The following is a 24,597-nucleotide window of genomic DNA, read 5'->3' as shown; positions in this document are numbered from 1 at the left end:
AGGAGATCGAGACCATCCTGGTTAACACGGTGAAACCCCGTCTCTACTAAAAATACAAAAAATTAGCCGGGCACGGTGGCGGGCACCTGTAGTCCCAGCTACTCGGGAGGCTGAGGCAGGAGAATGGCGTGAACCCGGGAGGTGGAGCTTGCAGTGAGCCGAGATCGCGCCACTGCACTCTGGCCTGGGCGAAAGAGCGAGACTCCGTCTCAAAAAAAAAAAAAAAGCAGGCAAATTGAAAAGGACAGAACTTCTTTATCTTAAAGTTGTTACAGGATGAATTCAATGTGTAGGAGTGAGATCAAGATTGGCCTTCAGGGATAATTTTGTTATTTTTAATAGTTTATACCCATATTCAGACTAAGGAGTACAAAGGAAAGAATGTTGGTCGGGCACAGTGTCTCATGCCTGTAATCCCAACGTTTCAGGAGACGAGGGTGGGAGGATCGCTTGAGCCCAGCAAACATAAAGAGACCCCCCTATTCCCCATCTCTACAAAAGTTAAAAAAAAAAAATTACTTAGGCGCGGTGGTGTACACAGCACCTGTAGTCCAGCTACTCCAGATACTGAAATGGGAGAATCACTTCAGCCTGGGAAGTCGAGGCTGCAGTGAGGTGTAATCATGCCACTGCACTACAGCCTGGGCAATAGAGTGAGAGATCCTGTCTCTTAAAATAAATAAATAAATATTTTAAAAAACAAAGCAAAGAAATGAGAAATGTGGAGGACACCTGGAAACTTGCTCTGTCATTTCCTGGTGGGAGATTGCTTGCCCAGTTTTTTTTTTTTGTTTTTTTTTTTGAGACGGAGTCTGGCTCTGTTGCCAGGTTGGAGTGCAATGGCGCCATCTCAGCTCACTGCAACCTCTGCCTCCTGGGTTCAAGTGATTCTCCTGCCTCAGCCTCCCGAGTAGCTGGGACTACAGGTGTGCGCCACCACATCCAGCTAATTTTTGTATTTTTAGTAGAGATGGGGTTTCACCATTTTGGTCAGGATGGTTTAGATCTGTTGACCTCGTGATCTGCCCGCCTTGGCCTCCCAAAGTGCTGGGATGACAGGCGTGAGCCACTGCACCCGGCCTGTTTTTGTTTGTTTGTTTTCTTGTTTTTTTGAGACAGAGCCTTGCTCTGTCACCCAAGCTGTAGTGCAGTGGCATGATCTCCGCTCACTGCAACCTCTGCCTCCCAGGTTTAAGTGATTCTTCCGCCTCAGCCTCCCTGGTAGCTGGGATTACAGGCATGCACCACCACGGACCCAGCTAATTTTGTGTATTTTTAGTAGAGACGGGGTTTCACCATGCCAGGCTGGTCTCAAACTCCTCACCTCAGTTGATCCACACACCTTGGCCTCCCAAAGTGCTGTTACAGGAATGAGCCACTGTACCTGGCCCCAGCTGGTTTTTTTTTTTTTAAGAGTTTCTTTTTTTTCTTATGAGACAGAGTCTCACTCTGTTGCCCAGGCTGGAGTGCAGTGGCATGATCTTGGCTCACTGCAGCCTCTGCTTCCCAGGTTCAAGCAATTCTCCTGACTCAGCCTCCCTAGTATCCCTAGTAGCAGGGATTACAGACATGAGCCACCGAGCCTGGCCTCTTTTTCTTTTCTTTTCTTTTCTTTTCTTTTTTTTTTTGAGACAGAGTCTCGCCCTGTCACCCAGGCTGGAGTGCAGTGGTGCGATCTCGGGTCACTGCAACCTCCGCCTACCAGGTTTAAGCAATTCTGCTGTCTCAGCCTCCCGAATAGCTTGGATTACAGGCTTGCGCCACCACGCTGGCTAATTTTTTGTATCTTTAGTAGAGATGGGGTTTCACCATGTTGACTGGGCTGGTCTCGAACTCCTGACCTCGTGATCCGCCTGCCTTGGACTCTCAAAGTGCTGGGATTATAGGCGTGAGCCACCGCACCCAGCTTTTTTTTTTTTCTTTTTAAAGAGTTTCTGTAAACTTTAGGAAAAAGATTTGCTTAGTTTTACACAGGATCCAGCTTGAATCAAAGCAGCATTCAAACATACCTTGCCCACCTGGCCAAAAATACTGTAGGACTAGATATAAGAAGTGGATTGAAGGAGATCTGAGGAACATCCCATGAGAAAATTCAACCAAAAGAAATCAGAGGCCATGGCCCCCGGCTCTGCTGTACATGCAGAACTCTGATGCTTGGGGCATCTTCTTGAGATGTGCTCCTCTGGCCTTTCCCCAGGACCCTGAACCTGAAATTGGCCATGTTGGAAGTGGCTGATGGCAAGAAAATATGGATCACACAAAGACAATCAAGGTGACTCTTAAGATGGCTTCAGAACAGCAGAATTGAAGCTGGGTATGGTGGCTCACGCATGTAATGCCAGCATTTTGGAAGCTGAGGCGGGCAGATCACTAGAGGTCAGGAGTTTGAGACCAGCCTGGCCCACATAGCAAAACTCCGTCTCTACTAAAAATACAAAAAAGTTAGCTGGACATGGTGGCACACACCTGTAATCCCAGCTACTCCGGAGGCCAAGGTACAAGAATTGCTTGAACCCAGGAGGTGGAGGTTGTAGTGAGCTGAGAGATCATACCACTGCACTCCAACCTGGGCGACAGAGTAAGACCCTGTTTCAAAAAAAAGAAAAGAAAAATAGATCACGCCTGTAATCCCAGCACTGTGGGAAGCCAAGGCAGGTGGATCACCTGAGGTCAGGAGTTCAAGACAAGCCTGGCCAAGATGGTGAAACCCTGTCTCTATTAAAAATACAAAAATTAGGCCCGGAGCGGTGGCTCACACCTGTAATCCCAGCACTTTGGGAGGCCGCGGTGGGCGGATCACGAGGTCAGGAGATCGAGACCATCCTGGCTAACACGGTGAAACCCCGTCCCTGATAAAAACACAAAAAAATTAGCCGGGCCTGGTGGCAGGCGCCTGTAGTCCCAGCTACTCTGGAGGCTGAGGCAGGAGAATGGCGTGAACCCGGGAGGCGGAGCTTGCAGTGAGCTGAGACGGCGCCACTGCACTCCAGCCTGGGCCACAGAGCAAGACTCCGTCTCAAAAAATAAAAATACAAAAATTAGCCGGGTGTGGTGGTGGGCGCCTGTAATCCTAGGTACTCGGGAGGGAGGCTGAGGCAGAGAATTGCTTGAACCCAGGAGGTGGAGGTTGCAGTGAGCCACAATTGTGCCACTGCACTCCAGCGTAGGCAACACAGTGAGACTCTGTCTCAAAAAAAAAAAAAAGAAAAATAGAAAAAGAAAAATATTTTAATAGCCAATATTGGCAAGGAAGTGGAGAATTTGGGCTTTCATACACTGTTAGTGGAAATAGAGCGTGGTACAAACTTTTAGGTTCATACTGAATGTTTATAGCCTTTGAAAATCCCAGAATCTAGGACACATTCTACAAGTGTACAAAGATGTGAGAATGTTCCCTGCAGCAGTGTAATAGTCCCTCCTCTTCACCTTCCCCAACAAAGGGAAACAAACTAACAGCCTGTATGTAGGCGAATGGTTAAAAAACAAACAAACAATGGATATGATTCTCCTTATATGAGGTGTCTACAGTAGCCAAATTCATAGAGACAGAAAGTAGAACAGTGGTTGCCAGGGGCTGGGGACAGAAGGGAATGGGAAGATCTATTTAATAAGTACAAAGTTTCCCTTTGAGCAGATGAGAAAGTTTTGCAGATGCATGCTGGTGTTGGCTGTACAACAGTTTCGTGTACTTAATGCCACTGAACTGTGCACTAAAAAATGGTTAAGAGGAAGCAGGTATGGTGGCTCATGCCTGTAATCCCAACACTTTAGGAGGCCAATGCTGGAGGATCCCTTGAGTCTAGGAGTTCGAGACCAGCCTGAGCAACGGGGTGAGACGCCCCCCACCCTGTCTCTACAAACATTTAAAAAAAAAAGTTAGTCAGGCATGATGGTGTACACCTGTGGTCCCAGCTACTCAGGAGGCTGAGATGAGAGGATCACCTGAGCCTGGGAGGTCAAGGCTGCAGTGAGCCGTGATCATGCCTCCACTATATTCCAGCCTGGGTGACAGAGAGAGGCTCTGTCTCAAAAAAAAAAAAAAAAAAAAAACGAAAAAAAGGTTAAGACCATAAATTTTATATATGTGTATTTCATGAGAACTTACTAAAGTTTTTTTAAATGGTAAAAATGATAAATTTTATGTTCTTTCTTTCTCTCTATACATGTTATGTATATATATATAAAACATATATATAAAATATATAAAAATCCCAAAGGGCTGGGATTACAGGGATTATATATATATATATATATATATATATATATATATATATATATTACTAAAAATACAAAAAAGTTAGCTGGCCATGGTGGCACATGCCTGTAATCCCAGCTACTCTGGAGGCCAAGGTACAAGAATTGCTTGAACCCAGGAGGTGGAGGTTGCAATGAGCTGAGAGATCATACCACTGCACTCCAGCCTGGGCGACAGAGTGAGACCCTGTTTCAAAAAAAAAGAAAAGAAAAATAGATCACTCCTGTAATCCCAGCACTGTGGGAATAATATATGTATATATTCTTTTTGACACAGAGTCTCACTCTGTTGCCCAGCTGGAGTGCAGTGGTGCAGTCTCCGCTCACTGCAACATCCACCTCCTGGGTTCAAGTGATTCTTGTGCCTCAGCCTCCCAAGTACCTGGCACTGCAAGTGTGCACCACCATGCCCAGCTAATTTTTGTATTTTTTATAGAGATGGGATTTCACCATGTTTGCCAGGCTGGTCTTGAACTCCTGACCTCAGGTGATCCACCCGCCTCAGCCTGCCAAAGTGCGGGGATTACAGGCGTGAGCCACCGCGCATGGCCTACGTACCATAGATTTTATCACAGCTAGACAACAACAACAAAAACTATGGAACAGTCTTACAATGATGGGATATTATGCAGTCAATTGAAAATGAGTAGGCAGATATATACTACCATAGAAAGATGTCTATGTATTACTAAGGACAAAAAGCATATTGGTAAATAGTAGGTATAGAATGTCTCTATTTTTACAAATATAATTATTAATAATAATGGGTTAGACCGGGCATGGTGGCTAATGCCTGTAATCCCAGCACTTTGGGAGGCTGAGGCCGGAGGATCATGAGGTCAGGAGTTTGAGACCAGCCTGGCCAACATAGTGAAACCCCGTCTCCACTAAAATACAAAAATTAGCCCTGCATGGTGGTGCGTGCCTGTAGTCCCAGCTACTCGGGAGGCTGATGAAGGAGAATCACTTGGACCCGAGAGGCAGAGGTTGTGGTGACCTGAGATTGTGCCACTGCACTCCAACCTGGGCAACACGGCGAGACTCTGTCTCAAAAAATAATAATAAAAATCAAAAAAAAATTAAATAAATAAATAAATAAATAAATAAATAAATAAATAAAGGGTTAGGGCCAGGCACGGTGGCTCACATCTGTAATCCCAGCACTTTGGGAGGCTGAGGCAGGAGGATCACGAGGTCAGGAGATCGAGACCATCCTGGCTAACACAGGTGAAACCCCATCTCTACTAAAAATACAAAAAATTATCTGGGCATGGTGGCATGTGCCTATAGTACCAGCTACTTGGGAGGCTGAGGCAGGAGAATGGCGTGAACCCGGGAGGCGGAGCGTGCAGTGAGCCGAGATCGCGCCACTGCACTCCAGCCTGGGCAACAAAGCAAGACTCTGTCTCAAAAAAATAAAATAAAATAAAAATAAATAAATAAATAAATAAAGGGTTAGAAGCTGATGGAATATGCACCAAACTGTTAGCAGTACTGGGGTGAGAGAAGTGTTATGGGGAGTGTTCATTGTACGTTACAAATTTTTATGATGTTTGAAGTCAAAACTAGAAAGTATTTTTTCTAAAATAACATTCAGGCCGGGTGCAGTGGATCATGCCTGTAATCCTAGCACTTTGGGAGGCCGAGGTGGGTGGATTGCTTGAGCTCAGGAGTTCGAGACCAGCCTGGGCAACACAGTGAAACCCCGTCTCTACTACAATACAAAAAAAAAAAAAAAGTTAGTCAGCATGGTGCCGTGCACCTGTAGTCCTAGCTACTCAGGAGGCTGAGACAGGAGAATTGCTTGAACCTGGGAGACAGAGGTTGCAGTGAGCTGAGATCATACCACTGAACTCCAGCCTGGGTAACAGAGCGATACTCCGTCTCAAAAAACAAAAACAAAAACACCTTCAATGGTTCCTCTTTGCTGTTAGGATAAAGTTTCAATTGCAGGGAATGGTACATGCTTACCTACCTTATTTCTCTGAACTTCCCTCCCGGCAGCCAAGTGGAATTATTTCTATTCTTCTGGTGCCATGCTCTCTCTGTTGTTGGGACATTCACACACATATACTCCTGTCTGAAACACCACTGCAATCCTTTCTTTACCCACAAATTCCTGATCACCCTGCAGGTCTCGACTAACATATTCCTTTTTCTATAAAGCACCCCCCCACCCCGATCCCTCTGAGCCCTAGTTACACACTCCTCTTGTGCCCTCTCTGGCAAATACCCTGTACTTATTTTATTATTTATTTATTTTTAATTATTTAATTATTTTTTAATTTTTTAAATTAATTAATTTCTTTATTTTTTGAGACGGAGTCTCACTCTGTTGCCCAGGCTGGAGTACAGTGGCGCAATCTCAGCTCACTACAACCTCTGACTCCCTGGTTCAAGTGATTCTCCTGCCTCAGCCTCCCAAGTAGCTGGGACTACAGGTGCATGCCACCATGCCCAGCTAATTTTTTTGTATTTTCAGTAGAGATGGGGTTTCACCATATTAGCCATGATGCTCTTGATCTCCTGACCTCATGATCCATCCCCCTCGGCCTCCCAAAGTGCTGGGATTACAGGCTAGAGCCACCGTGCCCAGCCTTTTTTATTTTTATTTTTTGAGACAGAGTCTCACTCTGTCACCCAGGCTGGAGTGCAGTGGCACGATCTCAGCTCACTACAACCTCTGCTTACCGGGTTCAAGCAATTCTCCTGCCTCAGCCTCCCGAGTAGCTGGGATTACAGGGGCCCACCACCATGCCCAGCTAATTTTTGTATTTTTAGTAGAGATGGGGTTTCACCATGTTGGCCAGTCTGGTCTCCAACTCCTGACCTCAGGAGATCCTCCTGCCTCAGCCTCCCAGAGTGCTTGGATTACAGGCATGACCACTGTGCCTGGCCTTCTTTTGTTATTATTATTTTTTATTTGTTCATTTATTTATTTATTTATTTATTGAGATGGAGTCTCCCTCTGTCGCCCAGGCTGGAATGCAGTGGCACGATCTTGGCTCACTGCAAGCTCCGCCTCCCGGGTTCACACCATTCTCCTGCCTCAGCCTCCCCAGTAGCTGAGACAACAGGCGCCTGCCACCATGCCTGGCTATTTTTTTTGTATTTTTATTAGAGACAGGGTTTCACCATGTTAGCCAGGATGGTCTAGATCTCCTGACCTCATGATCCACCTGCCTCAGCCTCCCAAAGTGCTGGGATTACAGGCATGAGCCACCGTGCCTGGCTATTATTATTATTTTAATAGAGACAGCTCTCAGTATGTTGTCCAGGCTGGTCTCGAACTCCTGGCCTCAAGCGATCCTCCTGCCTCAGCCTCCCAAAGTGCTGGGATTATAGGTGTGAGCCACCATTCCCAGCCTATCCTGTACTTTTGAATCACCTACATTACACACCATATTATAGTTGCCTGGGTCCTTGTCAGCCTTTCCTGCACAGCAGGGAAGGCGACCATGTCGTCCATCTCTCTTTCCCAGCTCCTAATTTAAGACCTGATGAAGAGGGACTCAACCCAAACTTATCGTTCAGATGAATACATACCATCGATTTGTGAATCTGGTCAGGGTTAGTGGATCCCCACCTGCCCCAACCTCATCTATGCTACTACAGCCACAAGGGCTTTCTGGCCCTGAAAAGGACTTGATCTAGCTTACTTGTCCATCAGGGTGCCAGTCAACCTCTCTGTCTTCTGGAATCTCAGATAGCTTGACTGGATTCTTTATAATTACACCAGAAATAGAGTAAGTGTTTACTCTGGGAAACGAGCTCTAAAGGAAATGAAATGTCCTTCATGAGGCCCCAAACTGAAGCAAAAGGAAGGTTGGAATGGAGGTCTTCCAGCATGATATCCAGGACTCTTTCTACAGAACCCTTACTACTTTCTTTGGGCAGGAGGCAGGTCTTATGCTTCCTCAAGACCTTAGCACCTAGGACAGGAACTGGGTTAGAATACATAGCCAATGAGTGTTTATTGAATGAATAAAGAAAGAGGGAAGTTCTATACATAAACATGCTCACAAACACACACTCACATGCACACAATATCTTTTCCATAGAATTTAAAAACAGAGTGGCAAACCCACAAAAACAGCCACAGAACTTGTGACTTTCCATATCATTAGGCATGATTGTGCCACCATCAGGAATGAAATGCACCAGCGGAACCAGAGGTAACCAAGGATCTTGCACTCTTTAAAAAAAGAAATTGTTTTTATAGAGACAGGATCTCACTCTGTTGCCCAGACTAGAGTGCAGTGGTGCGATCCTGCCTCACTGCAGCCTCCAATTCCTGGGCTCAAGTGATCCTTCCCACTCAGCCTCACTGCAGATGTGCAGTGCCATACCCAGCTAATTTTTTTTTTTTTGAGACAGTGTTTCATTCTGTGGCTCAGGCTGGAGTGCAGTGGCACGATGCTGGTTCATTGCAACCTCCAAGTCCCCGGCTCAGCTGATCTTCCCACCTCAGCCTCCCGAGTAGCTAGGATTACAGGTCTGCACCACCATGCCCAGCTTATTTTTCTGTTTTTAGCAGAGACTTTAAACCAGAGGGAGAGTAAGTCTTTGTACTCATTAATGAAGGACATTTCACTTGCTTTAGACCTCCATGTTGCCCAGGCTGGTCTTGAGCTCCTGGGTTCAAGCGATCTGCCCACCTCAGCCTCCCAAAGTGCTGGGATTACAGGCGTGAGCCACTGCACCCAGCAAAATTTTTGTATTTTTTGTAGTGACGGGGTCTCGCTGTGTTACCCAGGCTGGTCTCGAACTTCTGGCCTCAAGCCATCCTTCTGCCTCAGCCTCCCAAAGTGCTGGAATTACAGGCATGGGCCCCTATGCCTGGCCAGAACTTGCACTCTTTATACCCCAACCCAACCCTTATGAAGCCTCTTCTCTGCGCCCAGCACTGTGCTGGGTACTAGGAATTCAAAGATGGAGTACACACTGTTCCTGTCCTGGTGACACACCATCTACTTGGAGAGAAGCTTGTAGAAATAAATAGTTACTGGCCAGAGTGGTGGGGCTCCCTCAAGGCAAACATAGATGGATAATGCATGAGCATAAGCACCTGTCACATTGGTGCCTGAATGCTGCTCACCATGGGTAAAGCATCATGTGCCCAGGCAGGAGAGGACACTGAAAAGGTGGGCCCAGCCAGACAACAGAGGGCCATGGGTATGATGCTGGGAAGTTTGGGCTGACACCTGGGTCCTGCCTTTTGGAATATAGGACACCTGGGTCCTATTTTGGAATATGTGGTCATTTTTTTTTTTTTGAGACAGAGTCTCACTCTGTCACCCAGGCTGGAGTGCAGTGGTGCGATCTCAGTTCACTGCTACCTCTGCCTCCCGGGTTTAAGCGATTCTTCTGCCTCAGCCTCCTGAGCAGCTAGGACTACAGGCATGCACCACCATGCCCAGCTAATTTTTGTATTTTTAGTAGAGACAGGGTTTCACCACGTTGGCCAGGCTGATCTTGAGCTCCTGACCTCAGGTTATCCACCCGCCTTGGGCTCCCAAAGTGCTGGGATTACAGGTGTGAGCCACCACGCCCGGCCCTAGAATATGTGGTCATCTTATCTATCAATTAGCACATCTGTACAGTAATTCAGTGGAATATTAAAATGTTAACAGTATTATAAACAAAAGCCCAATTGACTTCATAATTAGAAAATTATAAAAAAATACCTAAAATTTGGTCCTTTATATTCTTTTTTTTTTCCTTTTTTTTTTTTTTTTTTTTTTGAGACATGGTTTCACTCTTGTTGCCCAGTCTGGAGTGCAATGGCATGATCTCGGCTCACCGCAACCTCCGCCTCCCAGGCTCAAGCAATTTTCCTGCCTCAGCCTCCCAAGTAGCTGGGATTACAGGCATGTGCCACGATACCTAGCTAATTTTTTTGTATTTTTAGTAGAGACAGGGTTTCTCCATGTTGGTCAGGCTGGTCTCAAACTCCCGACCTCAGTTGATCTGCCTGCCTCTGCCTCCCAAAGTGCGCGGATTACAGGCATGAGCCACCGTACCCGGCCTAGTCCTTTATATTCTAAAAGGATTCTCCAAAGGATGGCAAAAGAAACTGATATGCAAATAAGATTTTTTTGATGCCTTGTACCCCCTAAGCTGATGCCATGTGTGGTAACTGTAGCCACAATGGGTGGACCTATCAGACTGTGACTCTACCTAAAGGATCTCAAAATAGCTCTGCTCTGCTCTCTGGAGCAGGCAAGCATCTGCTCTATTCGGCAGTAGCTCATTCTTTACTATTGTTGCTATGTGACAAACTATTGGCTCTCAGTGTTAATCCAAGCCTGCCAGAGAAGGAGGGTGGGCAGAAGGCTTTGGGAGAAGCATCTTTTCTAGAATGTAATGTAACAAACAGGTCTTGAGCATTTCTTAGGTAACTGGCCCTGAAGATACAAATATCTGGTTCAGTTCAATGAACATGAATTAACCTCTATGTGGCAGGCACTGTGTTGGGCAGCAGGGATAGAAGAACAAATGAAACTCACCTGGTTTCTGTCTTCAGTTGTTCACTACCTAGTAGGAGAGTCAGACTCATAAATAGGAAACAGCAAGCTCATGTGGGAGACGCAATGATAGAGGCTTGGGTGATGTATGGACATTCAGAGAGTGCTTCAGATGAGTTCAGCAGTGGGCATGGTGATGTGCCTGTGGGATGCCCATATGGAGATCATGCATGGACAGCTGGACAAACAAGACCACAGGAAAATCAGACTCAGTCCATGTCCTTGAGGGTCTTACTATCTAGTGAAACAGAAATGTAAACACAATAAAACAATAGATCAATGACAGTATTTTTTTTTTCAGACAGAGTATTCCTCTGTCACCAGGCTGGAGTGCAGTGGCATGATCTCGGCTCCCTGCAACCACTGCCTCCTGGGTTCAAACGATTCTCCTGCCTCAGCCTCCCGAGTAGCTGGGATTACAGGCATGCGCCACCACACCCAGATAATTTTTGTGTTTTTAGTAGAGACGGGGTTTCACCATGTTGGCCAGGCTGGTCTCGATCTCCTAACCTCGTGATCCGCCCGCCTCAGCCTCCCAAAGTGCTGGGATTACAGGCGTGAGCCACCGCACCTGGCCCAATGACAGAATTTTGTAGTGGAAGTTAACACAGAGGTTCACACAAAGGTGATGGTGTAACTACCATGCCCTGGAAATGTTGATGTTCCTCTAGGAGACAGCCTAGGAGCTGAATTATTTTATTTATTTATTTATTTATTTATTTTTGAGACAGAGTCTTGCTTTGTTGCCCAGGCTGGAGTGCAGTGGCTTGATCTCGGCTCACTGCAACCTCCGCCTCCCAGGTTCAAGCGATTCTCCTGCCTCACCCTCCTGAGTAGCTGGGATTATAGGTGCCTGCCACCATGCCTGGCTAATTTTTTGTATTTTTAGTAGAGACGGGGGTTTCACCATGTGAACCAGGATGGTCTTGATCTCCTGACCTCGTGATCCACCCGCTTGGCCTCCCAAAGTGCTGGGATTACAGGCATGAGCCACCACACCCCACCAGGAGTTGAGTCTTGAATGATTCCAAGTGGTTTTCCTGGGCAAAAGGAAGAAGCCTGTGTGAAATAATTGGACAACTGCTTGGCTCTGCAGTCCAGGCACAAGTAAGGGGGACATGGCCAGGGCTGGCACAGCAAATCCGTAAAGCCCAGCACCTGGACAATGGGCACTGGTGACGTGGCTTACAAGAGAGGGGAATGTATGGCACTGCCTAGTGATGTAAGACTTTGGGGGTATCAAGGTTGCTAGAGGCATACAAGACAGCAAGCCTTGGCCAAGCATGGTGGCTCATGCCTGTAGTCCCAGCACTTTGGGAGGCCAAGGTGGGAGGATCATTTAAGCCAGCGGTTTGAGACCAGTCTGGGCAACACAGCAGGACCTCATCTCTGCAGAAAATTAGAAAATTAGCCAGGCTTGGTGGCACATGCATACCTGTAGTCCCAGCTACTCGGGAGACTAAGGAGAGAGGATCACTAGAGCCCAAGATTTCAAGGCTGCAATGAGCTGTGATTGTGCCACTGCACGATAGCCTAGATGACATAGTGAGACCTCTGTCTCATAAAAAGAAAAAAAAAAGAAAAAAGACAGCAAGCCTTCACCGTTCCATGCTCCTCCAACCTGACAAACATCATATTCCATATGGGATGCCAAGACCACAGGGCTTCAGGTGCATCTCCATGAGACACAAGAGGAATGCCTGCCTTGTCTTCCTCCTTGCAGCCTCACTGAAGGTTGATCTTTTGTACTATTTTGATTCATTTTGCATAAATCAAAGTAAATGCAATTTTAAATCAAATCCAAATCAGTACCTCAGTTTAAATTCTTGAACCTCAGTAAAATTCTGTGCTTTGACCTAGCTCAGCTTTCTTGGTAAGAGAAATAGACTCTTGATAAGGCTGATGAAATCATTGTTGCTGCTGCCAAATGTGTAGAAAAACCAGTAGAGATATTCATTAAGTGATTTATTTATTTATCAAAAATGTATTGAGGCCAGGCACGGTGGCTCACACTTGTAAAGCCAGCACTTTGGGAGGCTGAGGCAGGAGGATTGCGTGAGCCCAGGAGTTTGAGACCAGCCTGGGCAACATAGTGAGACCCTATCTCCACTAAAAATAAAAATAATTATCCAAGTGTGGTGGTGCTTGTAGTCCCAGCTACTCAGGAGGCTGAGGTGGGAGGATCGCTTGAGCCCAGGAGGTCGAGGCTGCAATGAGCCATGATTGCACCACTGCACTCCAGACTGGACAACAGAGTGAGACTTTGTCTCAAAAACAAAAACAAAAAAAGTATTGAAGCGGCACCTTATGTGGCAAACAAAGGGTGTGTTTATTTAATCTATAGAGGTCTTGTAAATTGATAAGAAAAAAAAAGGGAAAAAAATAGGCAACACCTTCCAAAACAATAAGCAGTTGTAGCTGATTAACCCTAAGGAGAATCCTAATAATTCCCACCTCCTAGTGTCCACATCCTTGTGTGATCCCCTCACTTTGCATGTGGGCAGAACCTATGACCCACTTCTAAGGAATATGGCAAAGGTGGTGGGCTGTCACTTCCAGATTATATCATGTTATATAAGACTCTATGTTAGCAGATTGAATCAGTAGATTCTCCTTGCTGGCTTGATGAAATAACCCACATGTTGAGGAAGCCTACATGGCAAGGAACTCTGGGTGGCCTCTAGAATCTGCCAGAGGCCTCCTGCCAACAATAAAAAGCCAGGGCCCTCAGCCACACAGCCACAGGGAAATGAATTCTGCCAACAATCTGCATGAGCTTGGAAGCAGATTCTTCCCCATTGGAGCCTCCAGATGACAATGTAGCCCAGGCCATACCTTGATTGCAGCCCTGGAAGACCCTGGGCAGAGGACCTGGCTAAGTTATGCCTGGACTCCTGATCCACAGAAATTGTGAGATAAGGCCCCAGCGCAGTGGCTTACACCTGTAATCCCAGCACTTTGGGATGCCTGAGCCTGGGAGTTTGAGACCAGCCTGGGCAACAAAGTTGAACTCCCCACCCACCCCACCTCTTTTTTTTTTTTTTTTTTTTTTGAGACAGGGTCTTACTCTGTCACCCAGGCTTGAGTGCAGTGGCATGATTATAGCTCACTGCAACCTCCGCCTCCCAGGTTCAAGCAATTCTTTAACCTCAGCCTCCCATGTAGCTGTGTCTACAGGCTCGAGCCACAAACACTTAGCTAATTTTTGTGTTTTCTGTAGAAACGAGGTTTTGCCATGTCGGCCAGGCTTGTCTTAACTCCTGAGCTCAAAGCAATCTGCCTGCCTCGGCCTCCCAAAGTGCTGGGTTTTGCCATGTTGGCCAGGCTTGTCTTGAACTCCTGAGCTGAAAGCGATCCACCTGCCTCAGCCTCCAAAAGTGCTGGGATTACAGGCGTGAACCACCATACCTGGCTGGGCATGGTGGCGTGTATATGTGGTCCCAGGGAGCTTGAGGATCGCTTGAACCCAGGAGGTTGAGCCCTGCACTCCAGTGTGGGCAACAGAGTAAACTCTGCCTCAAAAAAAAAAAGGAGACTGCGTCTGCTCCGCAGCACAGAGCCTCACCCTCGCCGCTTGGCTGCCTGTCCACACCCCCAGCCAGCTCACCATGGATGATGATATTGCTGCGCTCGTTGTTGACAACAGCTCTGGCATGTGCAAGGCCGGCTTCGCGGGTGACGATGTCCCCTGGGCCATCTTCCCTTCCATCGTGGGGTGCACCAGGCACCAGGTCATGATGGTGGGCATGGGTCAGAAGGACTCCTATGTGGGCAACGAGGCCCAGAGCAAGAGAGGCATCCTGACCCTGAAGTACCCCATCGAGCATGGCATCATCGCCAACGGGGACGACATGGAGAAGATACGGCACCACATCTTCTACACAAGCTGCATGTGGCTCCCGAGGAGCACCCTGTGCTGCTGACCGAGGCCCCCCTGAACCCCAAAGCCAACTGTGAGAAGATGACCCAGATCATGTTTGAGACCTTCAACACCCCAGCCATGTATGTGGCCATCCAGGCCATGCTGTCCCTGTACGCCTCCGTCCGTACCGCCCATGTACAAGGGGTATGCTCTCCCCCACGCCATCCTGCCTCTGGACCTGGCTGGCCGGGACCTGACTGACTACCTCATGGAGATCCTCACTGAGCACGGCTACAGCTTCACACCACGGCCGAGCGGGAAATCGTGCGTGACATCAAGAAGCTGTGCTACGTCGCCCTGGACTTCGAGCGGGAGATGGCCATGGTGGCCTCCAGCTCCTCCCTGGAGAAGAGCTACAAGCTGCTCGATGGCCAGGTCATCACCATCGGCAACGAGCGGTTCCACTGCCCCGAGGCGCTCTTCCAGCCTTCCTTCCTGGGCATGGAATCCTGTGGCATCCACAAAACTACCTTCAACTACATCATGAAGTGTGACGTGGACATCTGCAAAGACCTGTACACCAACACAGTGCTGTCTGGCGGCACCACCATGTACCCTGGCATCACCAACAGGATGCAGAAGAAGATCACCGCCCTAGCACCCAGCATGATGAAGATCAAGATCATTGCTCCTCCCGAGCGCAAGTACTCCGTGTGGATCAGCGGCTCCATCCTGGCCTCGCTGTCTACCTTCCAGCAGATGTGGATCAGCAAGCAGAAGTATGACCAGTCCGGCCCCTCCATCGTCCACGAATGCTTCTAGGTGGACTGTGACTTAGTTGCATTACACACTTTCTTGACAAAACCTAATGCATAGAAAACAAGATAAGATTGGCATGGCTTTATTTTTGTTGTTGTTTTGTTTTGTTTTGGGCTTTTTTTTGGCTTGACTCAGGATTTAAAAACTGGAACAGTGAAGGAGACAGCAGTTGGTTGCAGCGAGCATCCCCCAAAGTTCTACAATGTGGCCGAGGACTTTGACTGTACATTGCTCTTTTTTTAATAGTCATTCCAAATATCGTGAGATGCATTGTTACAGGAAGCCCCTTGCCCTCCTAAAAGCCACCCCACTTCTCTCTAAGGAGAATGGCCCGGTCCTTTCCCTAGTCCACACAGGGGAGATCATAGCATTGCTTTCATGTAAATTATGTAATGCAAAATTTTTTAAATCTTCGCCTTAATATTTTTTTATTTTGTTTTATTTTGAATGATCAGCCTTCACGCCCCGCCTTTTTTGTCCCCTAACTTGAGATGTATGAAGGCTTTTGGTCTCCCTGGGAGTGGGTGGAGGCAGCCAGGGCTTACCTGTACACTGACTTGAGACCAAGTTAAATAAAAGTGCACACCTTAAAAAAAAAAAAAAGGCAGAGGCTCTGCCCTCATGACCTAATCAACCTGACCACCTCCCAGAGCCCTACCTCCTAACATCATCACCTTGGTGACTAGATTTCAACATGATTTTTTGGAGGAACATATACATTCAAACCCTGGCAATCATACGCACAGGGCATATATGAAATATAATAAGTACAATTTAAAGATAAAGCCAACATTTGTGTAATCATTACCCAGGCCATGAAATAAAATATAGCCAGTCTTAGCAGATCAACTCCCGACTGTGTGGCCTTCCAATATACCCTTTGCTTCCCTGAAGATATAATCACTACACCGACTCCCGTCACCATTATTCCCTTTCCTTTTGGCAATCCAGCCACATTGATGTGTAAAGCTGTGATTTGTTCATTTCATTGCTGTGTGATTTCCACTGTATTAATGAAACACAATTTAGTTTGCCACTTTACTATGAACAAACATTTGAGGCTCCCCCCCGCTTTCTTATTTTTAGAGACAGGGTCTCACTGTGTTTGTTGCTCAGGCTGGAATGCAGTGGTGAGATCATAGCTCACTGCAGCCTCGAACTCCTGGGCTCAAGTGGTCCTCCCACCTCAGCTTCCTGAGTAGCTGGGACCACAGGTGCATGCCACCAAGCCTAGCTAGGTTTTCCATTTTTGTTCTATTAGAAACACTTCTGCTCTAAACGATAATTTATAAGACTCCTGGAACACATAGGGAAGGCTTCGTCAAGGAGTACGTATACTAGGGATGGAATTGCTGAGATAAAGGGTGTGTATATCTTCAGTTTTTCTAAATAATGCTAAACCACTTGTCTGTACAGTTCACCAATTTATACTCCTGCCCCAGTGTGTGAGAGTTCCCTCTACTCTCAGTGTGTGAGAGTTCCCACTGCTCCACTTCACTGGCAATATTTGGTTTTCACAGACTTCTTAATTTTAAACACTCAGATGAGCATGCAATGGTGCTTTATTGTGATTTTAGTTTAGTTTAGTTTAGTTTTGTTTTGGGGACAGTGTCTCACTCTGTTGCCAAGACTGGAGTGCAATGGCGCGATATCGGCTCACTGCAACATCTGCCTCCCGGGTTCAAGTGATTCTGGTGCCTCAGCCTCCCAAGTAGCTGGGATTACAGGCGTACGCCACAACACCGGCTAATTTTTGTATTTTTACTAGAGACAGGGTTTCACCATTTTGGCCAGGCTGGTCTTGAACTCCCAACCTCAGATGATCCGCCCACCTCAGCCTCCCAAAGTGCTGGGATTACAGGCGTGAGCCACCATGCCTGGCTGATTCTAATTTTCAGTTGGTAGTTCCTTTATTGCCCATTTGGATTTCTTCTTTTGTAACATTCCAGTTCAAGTTTTTTTTTCAATTTCTTGTTTGTCTTTGTCTCATTGATATGATTTGTAATTTCCACTTTATTATTTGCCCTTTAAGTTTGCAAATGGACCTTAAGTATATGATAAGATGTTCAACTTCAACTATAAAAAGAGATATGACAAAACCACAATGATATTCTTTTTGTCACTATCAGATAGGCCAAAAACCAAAGCATTTAATAATACCATGTTGACAGTCATGTGAAGAATGTATGGATCACAGTGTAAATTGGTGAACTTCAGTGGAAAGCAGTCTGGCATATCTAACGCACTATTAAAATTGTGTGAGGCTGGGCCTATAATGCCAGCACTTTGGGAGGCCAAGGCAGGCGGATCACGAGGTCAAGAGTTCAAGACCAGCCTGGCCAATATGGTGAAACCCCATCTCTACTAAAAATGCAAAAATTAGCCAGGCATGGTGGCGTGCACCTGTAGTCCCAGCTACTCGGGAGGCTGAGGCAGAAGAATGGCTTGAACCCAGGAGGCAGAAGTTGCACTGAGTTGAGATCACACCACTGCACTCTAGCCTGGCCGACAGAACAAGACTTTGTCTCAAAAAAAAAAAAAGTGTGTGGGCCGGGCCTATAATCTCAGCACTTTGGGAGGCTGAGGCTGGTGGATCACTTGAGGCCAGGAGTTCAAGACCAGCTTGGCCAATATGGTGAAACCCTGTCTCTATTAAAAATACAAAAATTAGGCTGGGTGTGGTGGCTCACATCTGTAATCCCAGCACTTTGGGAGGCTGAGGCAGGTGGATCACCTGAGTTCGGGAGTTTGAGACCAGCCTGACCAACATGGAGAAACCCCATCTCTACTAAAAATACAAACATTAGCCGGGTATGTTGGTGGGCACCTGTAGTCCCAGCTACTAAGGAGGCTGAGGCAGGAGAATCGCTTGAACCCGGGAGGCGGAGTTTGCGGTGAGCCAAGATCGCACCATTGCATTCCAGCCTGGGCAACAAGAGCGAAACCAAAAAAAAAAAAAAGCCAGGCATAGTGGCACTTGCTACTTGTGAGGCTGAGGCATGAGAACCACTTGAACCTGGGAGACGGAGATTGCAGTGAGCCAAGATTGCGCCACTGCCCTCCAGCCTGGGCAACAGAGCGAGACTGTCTCAAAACAAAAAAGAAAAAGTGTGTGTACAGTTTCACTCAACCACTTTACTTTTCAGAATTTGTCCTATGGATATACTCACGTGTGAAATGACACGTTCAAGGATATTCAGGGTAACATTGTTTATAATAGCAAAATTTTGAAAAGAACTTGACCAGGCGAGGTGGCTCAGGCCTGTAATCCCAGCACTTTGAGAGGCCAAGGTGGCTGGATCTCTTGGGCTCATGAGTTGGAGACCAGCCTAGGCAACATGATGAAACCTCATCTCTACAAAAAAAAAAATACAGAAATTAGCCAGACACGGTGGTGTGTGCCCGTAGTCCCAGCTACTCAGAGGCTGAGGCAGAAAGATCAATTGAGCCCAGGAGATTGAGGCTGTAGTGAGTCCTCATCATGACACTGCATTCCAGCCTGGGGGACAGAATGAGACCCTGTCTCAAAAAACAAACAAGCAAACAAACAAACAAACAAAAAATGCTAAAAAAAACCCAGCCTGGACAACCTGATGAAACCTTGTCTCTACCAAAAAAAAAAAAAAAAAAAAAAAATTAGCTAGGCGTGATAGCACGCATCTGTAGTTCCAGCTTCTCAGGAGGCTGAGGAGGGAGGATTGCTTGAGCACAGTAGGTTGAAGCTGCAGTGAGCCGTGATTGCACCACCGCACTCCAGCCTGTGTGACGGAGTGGTAATTTATTATTTATTTGAACTTAAATAAAGAACTTAAATGCCCAGTGATGAAGACTGATTAAACAATTTATGATACATCTTTACAAAGGTACAGTATACTGAGTTTTAAAAATCCATTTTATATACACTGAAAATGCATATTTTCCAAGACACAATATTAAGTAAGGAAGTAATCAGGTGCAGAATATGTGTAAAATATACGATAATCCCCAGAGTGTATATGCATATATGCTTGTTTTCACATAGAATATCTTGGAGAAGGCCGGGCGCGGTGGCTCACGCCTGTAATCCCAGGACTTTCGGAGGCCAAGGTGGACAGATCACCTGAGGTCAGGAGTTCAAGACCAGCCTGGCCAACATGATGAAACCCTGTCTCTACTAAAAATACAAAAAAATTAGCTGGGCATGGTGGCGGGCGCCTGTAATCCCAGCTATTTCGGAGGCTGAGGCAGAAAAATCACTTGAACCCGTGAGGTGGAGCTTGCAGAGAGCCAAGATTGCTCCATTGCACTCCAGCCTGGGCAACAAGAGAGAAATGCCATCTCAGAAAAATTAATTAATTAATTAATTAAAAAGGTATAGAGCTATAGTCAGTGGGTGATTGGGGAATCAGGGTGAAAAGATATAATTTTTTTTTTTTTACTGTACATCAATTTGCACCTTTCAGATTTTCTATGATATGCATGTATTCCCTATGAAAAGTAAGTCAAACGGCCAGGCGCAGTGGCTCATGCCTGTAATCCCAGCACTTTGGGAGGCTGAGGTGGGTGGGTCACCTAAGATTAGGAGTTCGAGACCAGCCTGGCCAACATGAGGAAACCCTGTCTCTGGGCGACAGTGTGAGACTCTGTCTCAAAATAAAATAAAATAATAAAATAAAATAAAAGTAAGTCGAGTGATTTTAACATGTCAGGCCTGTACTAAATTCTAGAGGTACAGTGGTGAACAAAACAGAAACCTTGCCTTAGGGAGCTGCCAGTCTGGTGCTGGGAGACACTCCCTGAACTCAGCACTGCAGGGATGTGTGATGAGCACTGTGACGGGGCACACCAACACCAAGGCACTTCGGAGGAGGGTGACACACAGCAGGGACACCCAGCAGTCTTGGAGGTGGGCAGGCAGCCTGAAATTTACATGGGGGGCAGAAAGAAGAAGGAGCCAGTCCATGGAGGTGGCTTAAGGGACAGGAGGCCCCAGCAGAGAAAACAGCATTTGTGGAGGAGGGCAAAGCTCTGTTAATTTGAGGAACTGAAAGAAGTTCAGCTCAACCGGAAGCTGACATGAGTCAAATTGGTTTTCAGAAAAAGCCATGCTAGAAATGTGGAGAAAGGATTGAAAGGGGCAAGAGTGGAGTCAAGAAGATGGGTTACGCCAGGTGTGGTGGCTCATGCCTGTAATCCCAACACTTTGGGAGGCCAAGGTGGGCAGATCACCTGAGGTCAGGAGTTCGAGACCAGCCTGGCCAACATGGTGAAACCCCATCTCTACTAAAAATACAAAAAAAATTAGCTGGGCGTGGTGGTGTGTGCCTGTAATCTTGGCTACTCGGGAGGCTGAGGCAGGAGAATCACTTGAACCCCAGAAGCAGAGGTTGTGGTGAGCCGAGACTAAGCCACTACACCCCAGCCTGGATGACAGAGCGAGATTCCGTCTCAAAAAAAAAAGAAAAGAGAAAAAAAGAAAAAGAAAAAAGAAAAGAAAAGAAGAAGATGGGTTAGGAAGCTTCTGTAGTCATCAGACAAGAGGAGACAGGAGGCTGGATTAAGGAGGTGGTGGTGGGGGACAGAAAGGACAGGACGGTTTCAATAGACACTGAGAACTTAGAATCTACAGACATGGTGATTGGATGACTGAATGAAGGAAATGGAGGATCATTATAATAATAAAAGCTAATATTTTGTAAGAATTTCCTTGGGAGGCCGAGGCACGCGGATGTCTTGAGGTCAGGAGTTCGAGACCAGCCTGGCCAACATGGTGAAACCCCCGTCTCTACTAAAAATACCAAAAAAAATAGCCGGGCACGGTGGCGGGCACCTGTAATCCCAGCTACTCGGGAGGCTGAGGTTCGAAAATCACTTGAACCCGGGAGGCAGAGGTTGCAGTGAACTGAGATCGCACCATGGCACTCCAGCCTGGGTAACAGAGAGAGACTGTCTCAAAAAAAAAAAAAAAAAAAAAGAATTTCCTGTGGGGGCAGCACCTGTCCAGGACTTGGTGTGATTCCGTCGCTCAGTCTTCTCAGCAACCAGGGACGTAGGTACTGCCGTAATGAGAGTTTACAGATTAAAAGTTGAAGGAGGTTAAGAAACTTCATTGAGGCCAGGCATGGTGGCTCGTCCCTGTAATCCCAGCACTTTGGGAGGCCAAGGTGGGTGGATTGCTTGAGCTCAGGTGTTTGAGACCACCCTGGGCAACACCACAAAACCCCATCTCTACCAAAAATACAAAAATTTGCCGGTTGTGCTAGTGTGCACCTGTCGTCCCAGCTACTTGAGAGACTGAGGTGGAGGATCTCTTGAGCCCAGGAGGCGAGGCTGCAATGAGAGACCACCAAGTCTAGGGAACATAGAGACAAACCCAACCCTGTCTGTGTCCTCATGGAACTTCAGGGCCAGGAATGGTGACGTTAGTGACCTTTATGCTAAGAGAGGGGTAGGTGGGCACCAGGAGCTGTAGGAGCACAGAGCAGGGAGAGGAGATCTAATCTGACTTGGGGAGAAGGTTCCTTAATACAAGATGTGGCTGGAGGTAAATCTTATTTTAAAAAAAATTTTTTTTTGAGACAGTCTGGCTCTGTCACCCAGGCTGGAGTGCAGTGGCACGATCTCTGCTCACTGCAACCTCCACCTCCCAGGTTCAAGTGATTCTCCTGCCTCAGCTTCCCAAGTAGCTGGGATTACAGGCATACACCACCCATGCCTGGCTAATTTTTATTTATTTATTTATTTTTGAGACCGAGTCTCTCTCCATCACGCAGGCTGGAGTGCAGTGGCACAATCTCGGCTCACAGCAATCTCTGCCTCCCGGGTTCAAGCGATTCTCCTGCCTCAGCCTCCCGAGTAGGTGGGATTACAGGCATGTGCCACCATGCCCGACTAATTTTTTTTTTTTTTTGTATTTTTAGTAGAGAGGGGGTTTTGCCATATTGGTCAGGCTGGTCTTGAACTTTTGAACTCAGGTGATCCACTGGCCTCGGCCTCCCAAAGTGCTGGGATTACAGGTATGAGCTACCGCGCCCGGCCAATTTTTGTTTGTTTGTTTGTTTGTTTTTGTATTTTTTTAGTAGAGACAGGGCTTCACCATGTTGGCCAGGCTGGTCTCGAACTCCTGACCTCAGGTGATCCACCTGCCTCGGCCTCCCAAACTGCTGGCATTACAGGCATGAACCACTGTGCCCAGCCTGGGTAAATCTTGAAGGACAAGTAGTGACAGACAAGTAAAGGGCAGAGCCTCAGGCAGAGACAGTAGTGTGGATGAAGGTGCCTGCCATTAAGTGAAGGTGTCTCATTACAGGGTGAGACACCGTGCCCGATCAGCACACATCTTCTTATTCTGGAACCCATGCTGAACAATAGCCACTATCTGGGGCACATTGTTCTCACAGAGGAGGACTAACCAAAAGTACCCCAGCCAAGCTGCACAATTGCATTTCAAGCTCTGCTCAAGTGTGACAAAGTTCAGGCTGGGTGCAGTGGTTCACATCTGTAATCCCAGCACCTTGGGAGACCAAGGTGGGAGGATCACTTGAGCCCAGGAGTTCCAGACCAGCCTGCGCAACATGGTGACACCCCTTCTCTTAAAAACAAAAACAGAAAAAAGGCCGGGCGTGGTTGCTCATGCCTGTAATCCAGCACTTTGGGAGGCTGAGGCAGGCGGATCACCCGAGGTCAGGAGTTTAAGACCAGCCTGGCCAACATGTCGAAACTCCATTTCTACTCAAAATACAAAGATTAGCTAGGCATGGCGGTGCACACCTGTAATCTCAGCTACTCGGGAGCCTGAGGCACAAGAATTGCTTGAACCCAGGAGGTGGAGGTTGCAGTGAACCAAGATCGCGCCACTGCACTCCAGCTTGGGCAACAGAGTGAGACTCTGTCTAAAAAAAAAAAAAGGGACAAGGCCAGGCGCGGTGGCTCATGCCTGTAATCCCAGCACTTTGGGAGGCCAAGGCGGGCAGATCACGAGGTCAGGAGATCGAAACCATCCTGGCTAACATGGTGAAACCCCGTCTCTACTAAAAATAAAAAAAATTAGCCAGGCGTGGTGGCCGGCTCCTGTAGTCCCAGCTACTCGGGAGGCTGAGGCAGGAGAATGGCGTGAACCCGGGAGGCGGAGCTTGCAGTGAGCCAAGATGGCGCCACTGCACTCCAACCTGGGCAACAGAGAGAGACTGTGTCTCAAAAAAAAAAAAAAAAAAAAAGGGACAAAATTCATGTCCACTCATATCCCTTTGTTCAAAACATGTCATATGGCCAACTCCAAAGTCGGTAGGGCAGGCAAACATGGTAAGGGTTGGAGGGTCATTGTGAAATTGTAAGATAGCGTGTGGCAACCTGTCATTGGGGATAGAGAGGAGAAATAGATTAGAATCTTGAGATTTGGTGGCTGATTTGATGTAGGGGATCTGACAAGGATTGCCTCAGGTGATTAAATTGAAGATATTACCATTAAACAAGAAAAGGGGTGCAGGAAGAGGAACCTTGTCATAGATGTTTGTTGATGCCCAACATCAAATCTGGCTTCTTGGCTGGTCCGATGGTAGTGGGTTGTCAGAGCTTACTAACATTAGTGTCACTACATTTGGTATACGACCTCCCAGTGCTAAATTTGGCTAAAAAAAATCTTGTCATAACAGTACCCTGTTTTTTGTTTTTTTTTTTTGAGACAGGGCCTCGCTTTGTCACTCAGGTTTGAGTCCAGTGGCACAAACACGGCTCACTGCAGCCTCAACCTCCTGGGCTCAAGCAATCCCCCCGCCTCAGCCTCCTGAGTATGTGGGGCTACAGGTGGCTACCACCAGGCTTGGGAATTTTTTTTTTTTTTTTTTGAGATGGAGTCTTGCTCTGTGGCCCAGGCTGGAGTGCTGTGGCTTGATATCGGCTCACTGCAAACTCTGCCTCCCAGGTTCACACCATTCTCCTGCCTCAGCCTCCCAAGTAGCTGGGACTACAGGCGCCTGCCACCATGCCTGGCTAAGTTTTTTTATTTTTAGTAGAGACGGGATTTCACCATGTTAGCCAGGATGGTCTCGATCTCCTGACCTCGTGATCCGCCTGCCTTGCCCTCCCAAAGTGCTGGGATTACAGGCGTGAGCCACCGCACCCGGTCAACGGTTGGCTAATTTTTAAATTTTTTTTTTT

At 47.1% G+C, this 24,597-nt stretch overlaps 1 non-coding gene and 1 pseudogene across 1 annotated transcript, besides 3 other annotated features; both read left to right on the top strand.

The window, feature by feature from the left end:
* Nucleotides 14,657-15,158: an enhancer, noted in NCBI's record as "H3K4me1 hESC enhancer chr22:41470475-41470976 (GRCh37/hg19 assembly coordinates)". NCBI's record gives its function as "activates a minimal SCP1, AML or CMV promoter by ChIP-STARR-seq in naive H9 embryonic stem cells {active_cell/tissue: H9 hESC(naive)}" and the evidence as "EXISTENCE:reporter gene assay evidence [ECO:0000049][PMID:30033119]".
* On the top strand, nt 14,834-15,464 carry ACTBP15 (ACTB pseudogene 15; annotated as a pseudogene).
* Nucleotides 15,908-16,027, top strand: SNORD140 (small nucleolar RNA, C/D box 140). Its single transcript, NR_132979.2, has one exon. It is a non-coding gene; the product is annotated as a small nucleolar RNA, C/D box 140 (small nucleolar RNA).
* Nucleotides 20,190-20,479: an enhancer, noted in NCBI's record as "active region_19105". NCBI's record gives its function as "activates an Ori minimal core promoter by ATAC-STARR-seq in GM12878 lymphoblastoid cells {active_cell/tissue: GM12878}" and the evidence as "EXISTENCE:reporter gene assay evidence [ECO:0000049][PMID:35858748]".
* Nucleotides 20,670-20,779: an enhancer, noted in NCBI's record as "active region_19104". NCBI's record gives its function as "activates an Ori minimal core promoter by ATAC-STARR-seq in GM12878 lymphoblastoid cells {active_cell/tissue: GM12878}" and the evidence as "EXISTENCE:reporter gene assay evidence [ECO:0000049][PMID:35858748]".

This window comes from Homo sapiens, chromosome 22, assembly GCF_000001405.40.
Source record: "Homo sapiens chromosome 22, GRCh38.p14 Primary Assembly".
Classification (NCBI taxonomy): domain Eukaryota; kingdom Metazoa; phylum Chordata; class Mammalia; order Primates; family Hominidae; genus Homo; species Homo sapiens.
Note: the sequence above shows the minus strand (reverse complement) of the source record. Positions and strands in the feature narration are given on the sequence as shown.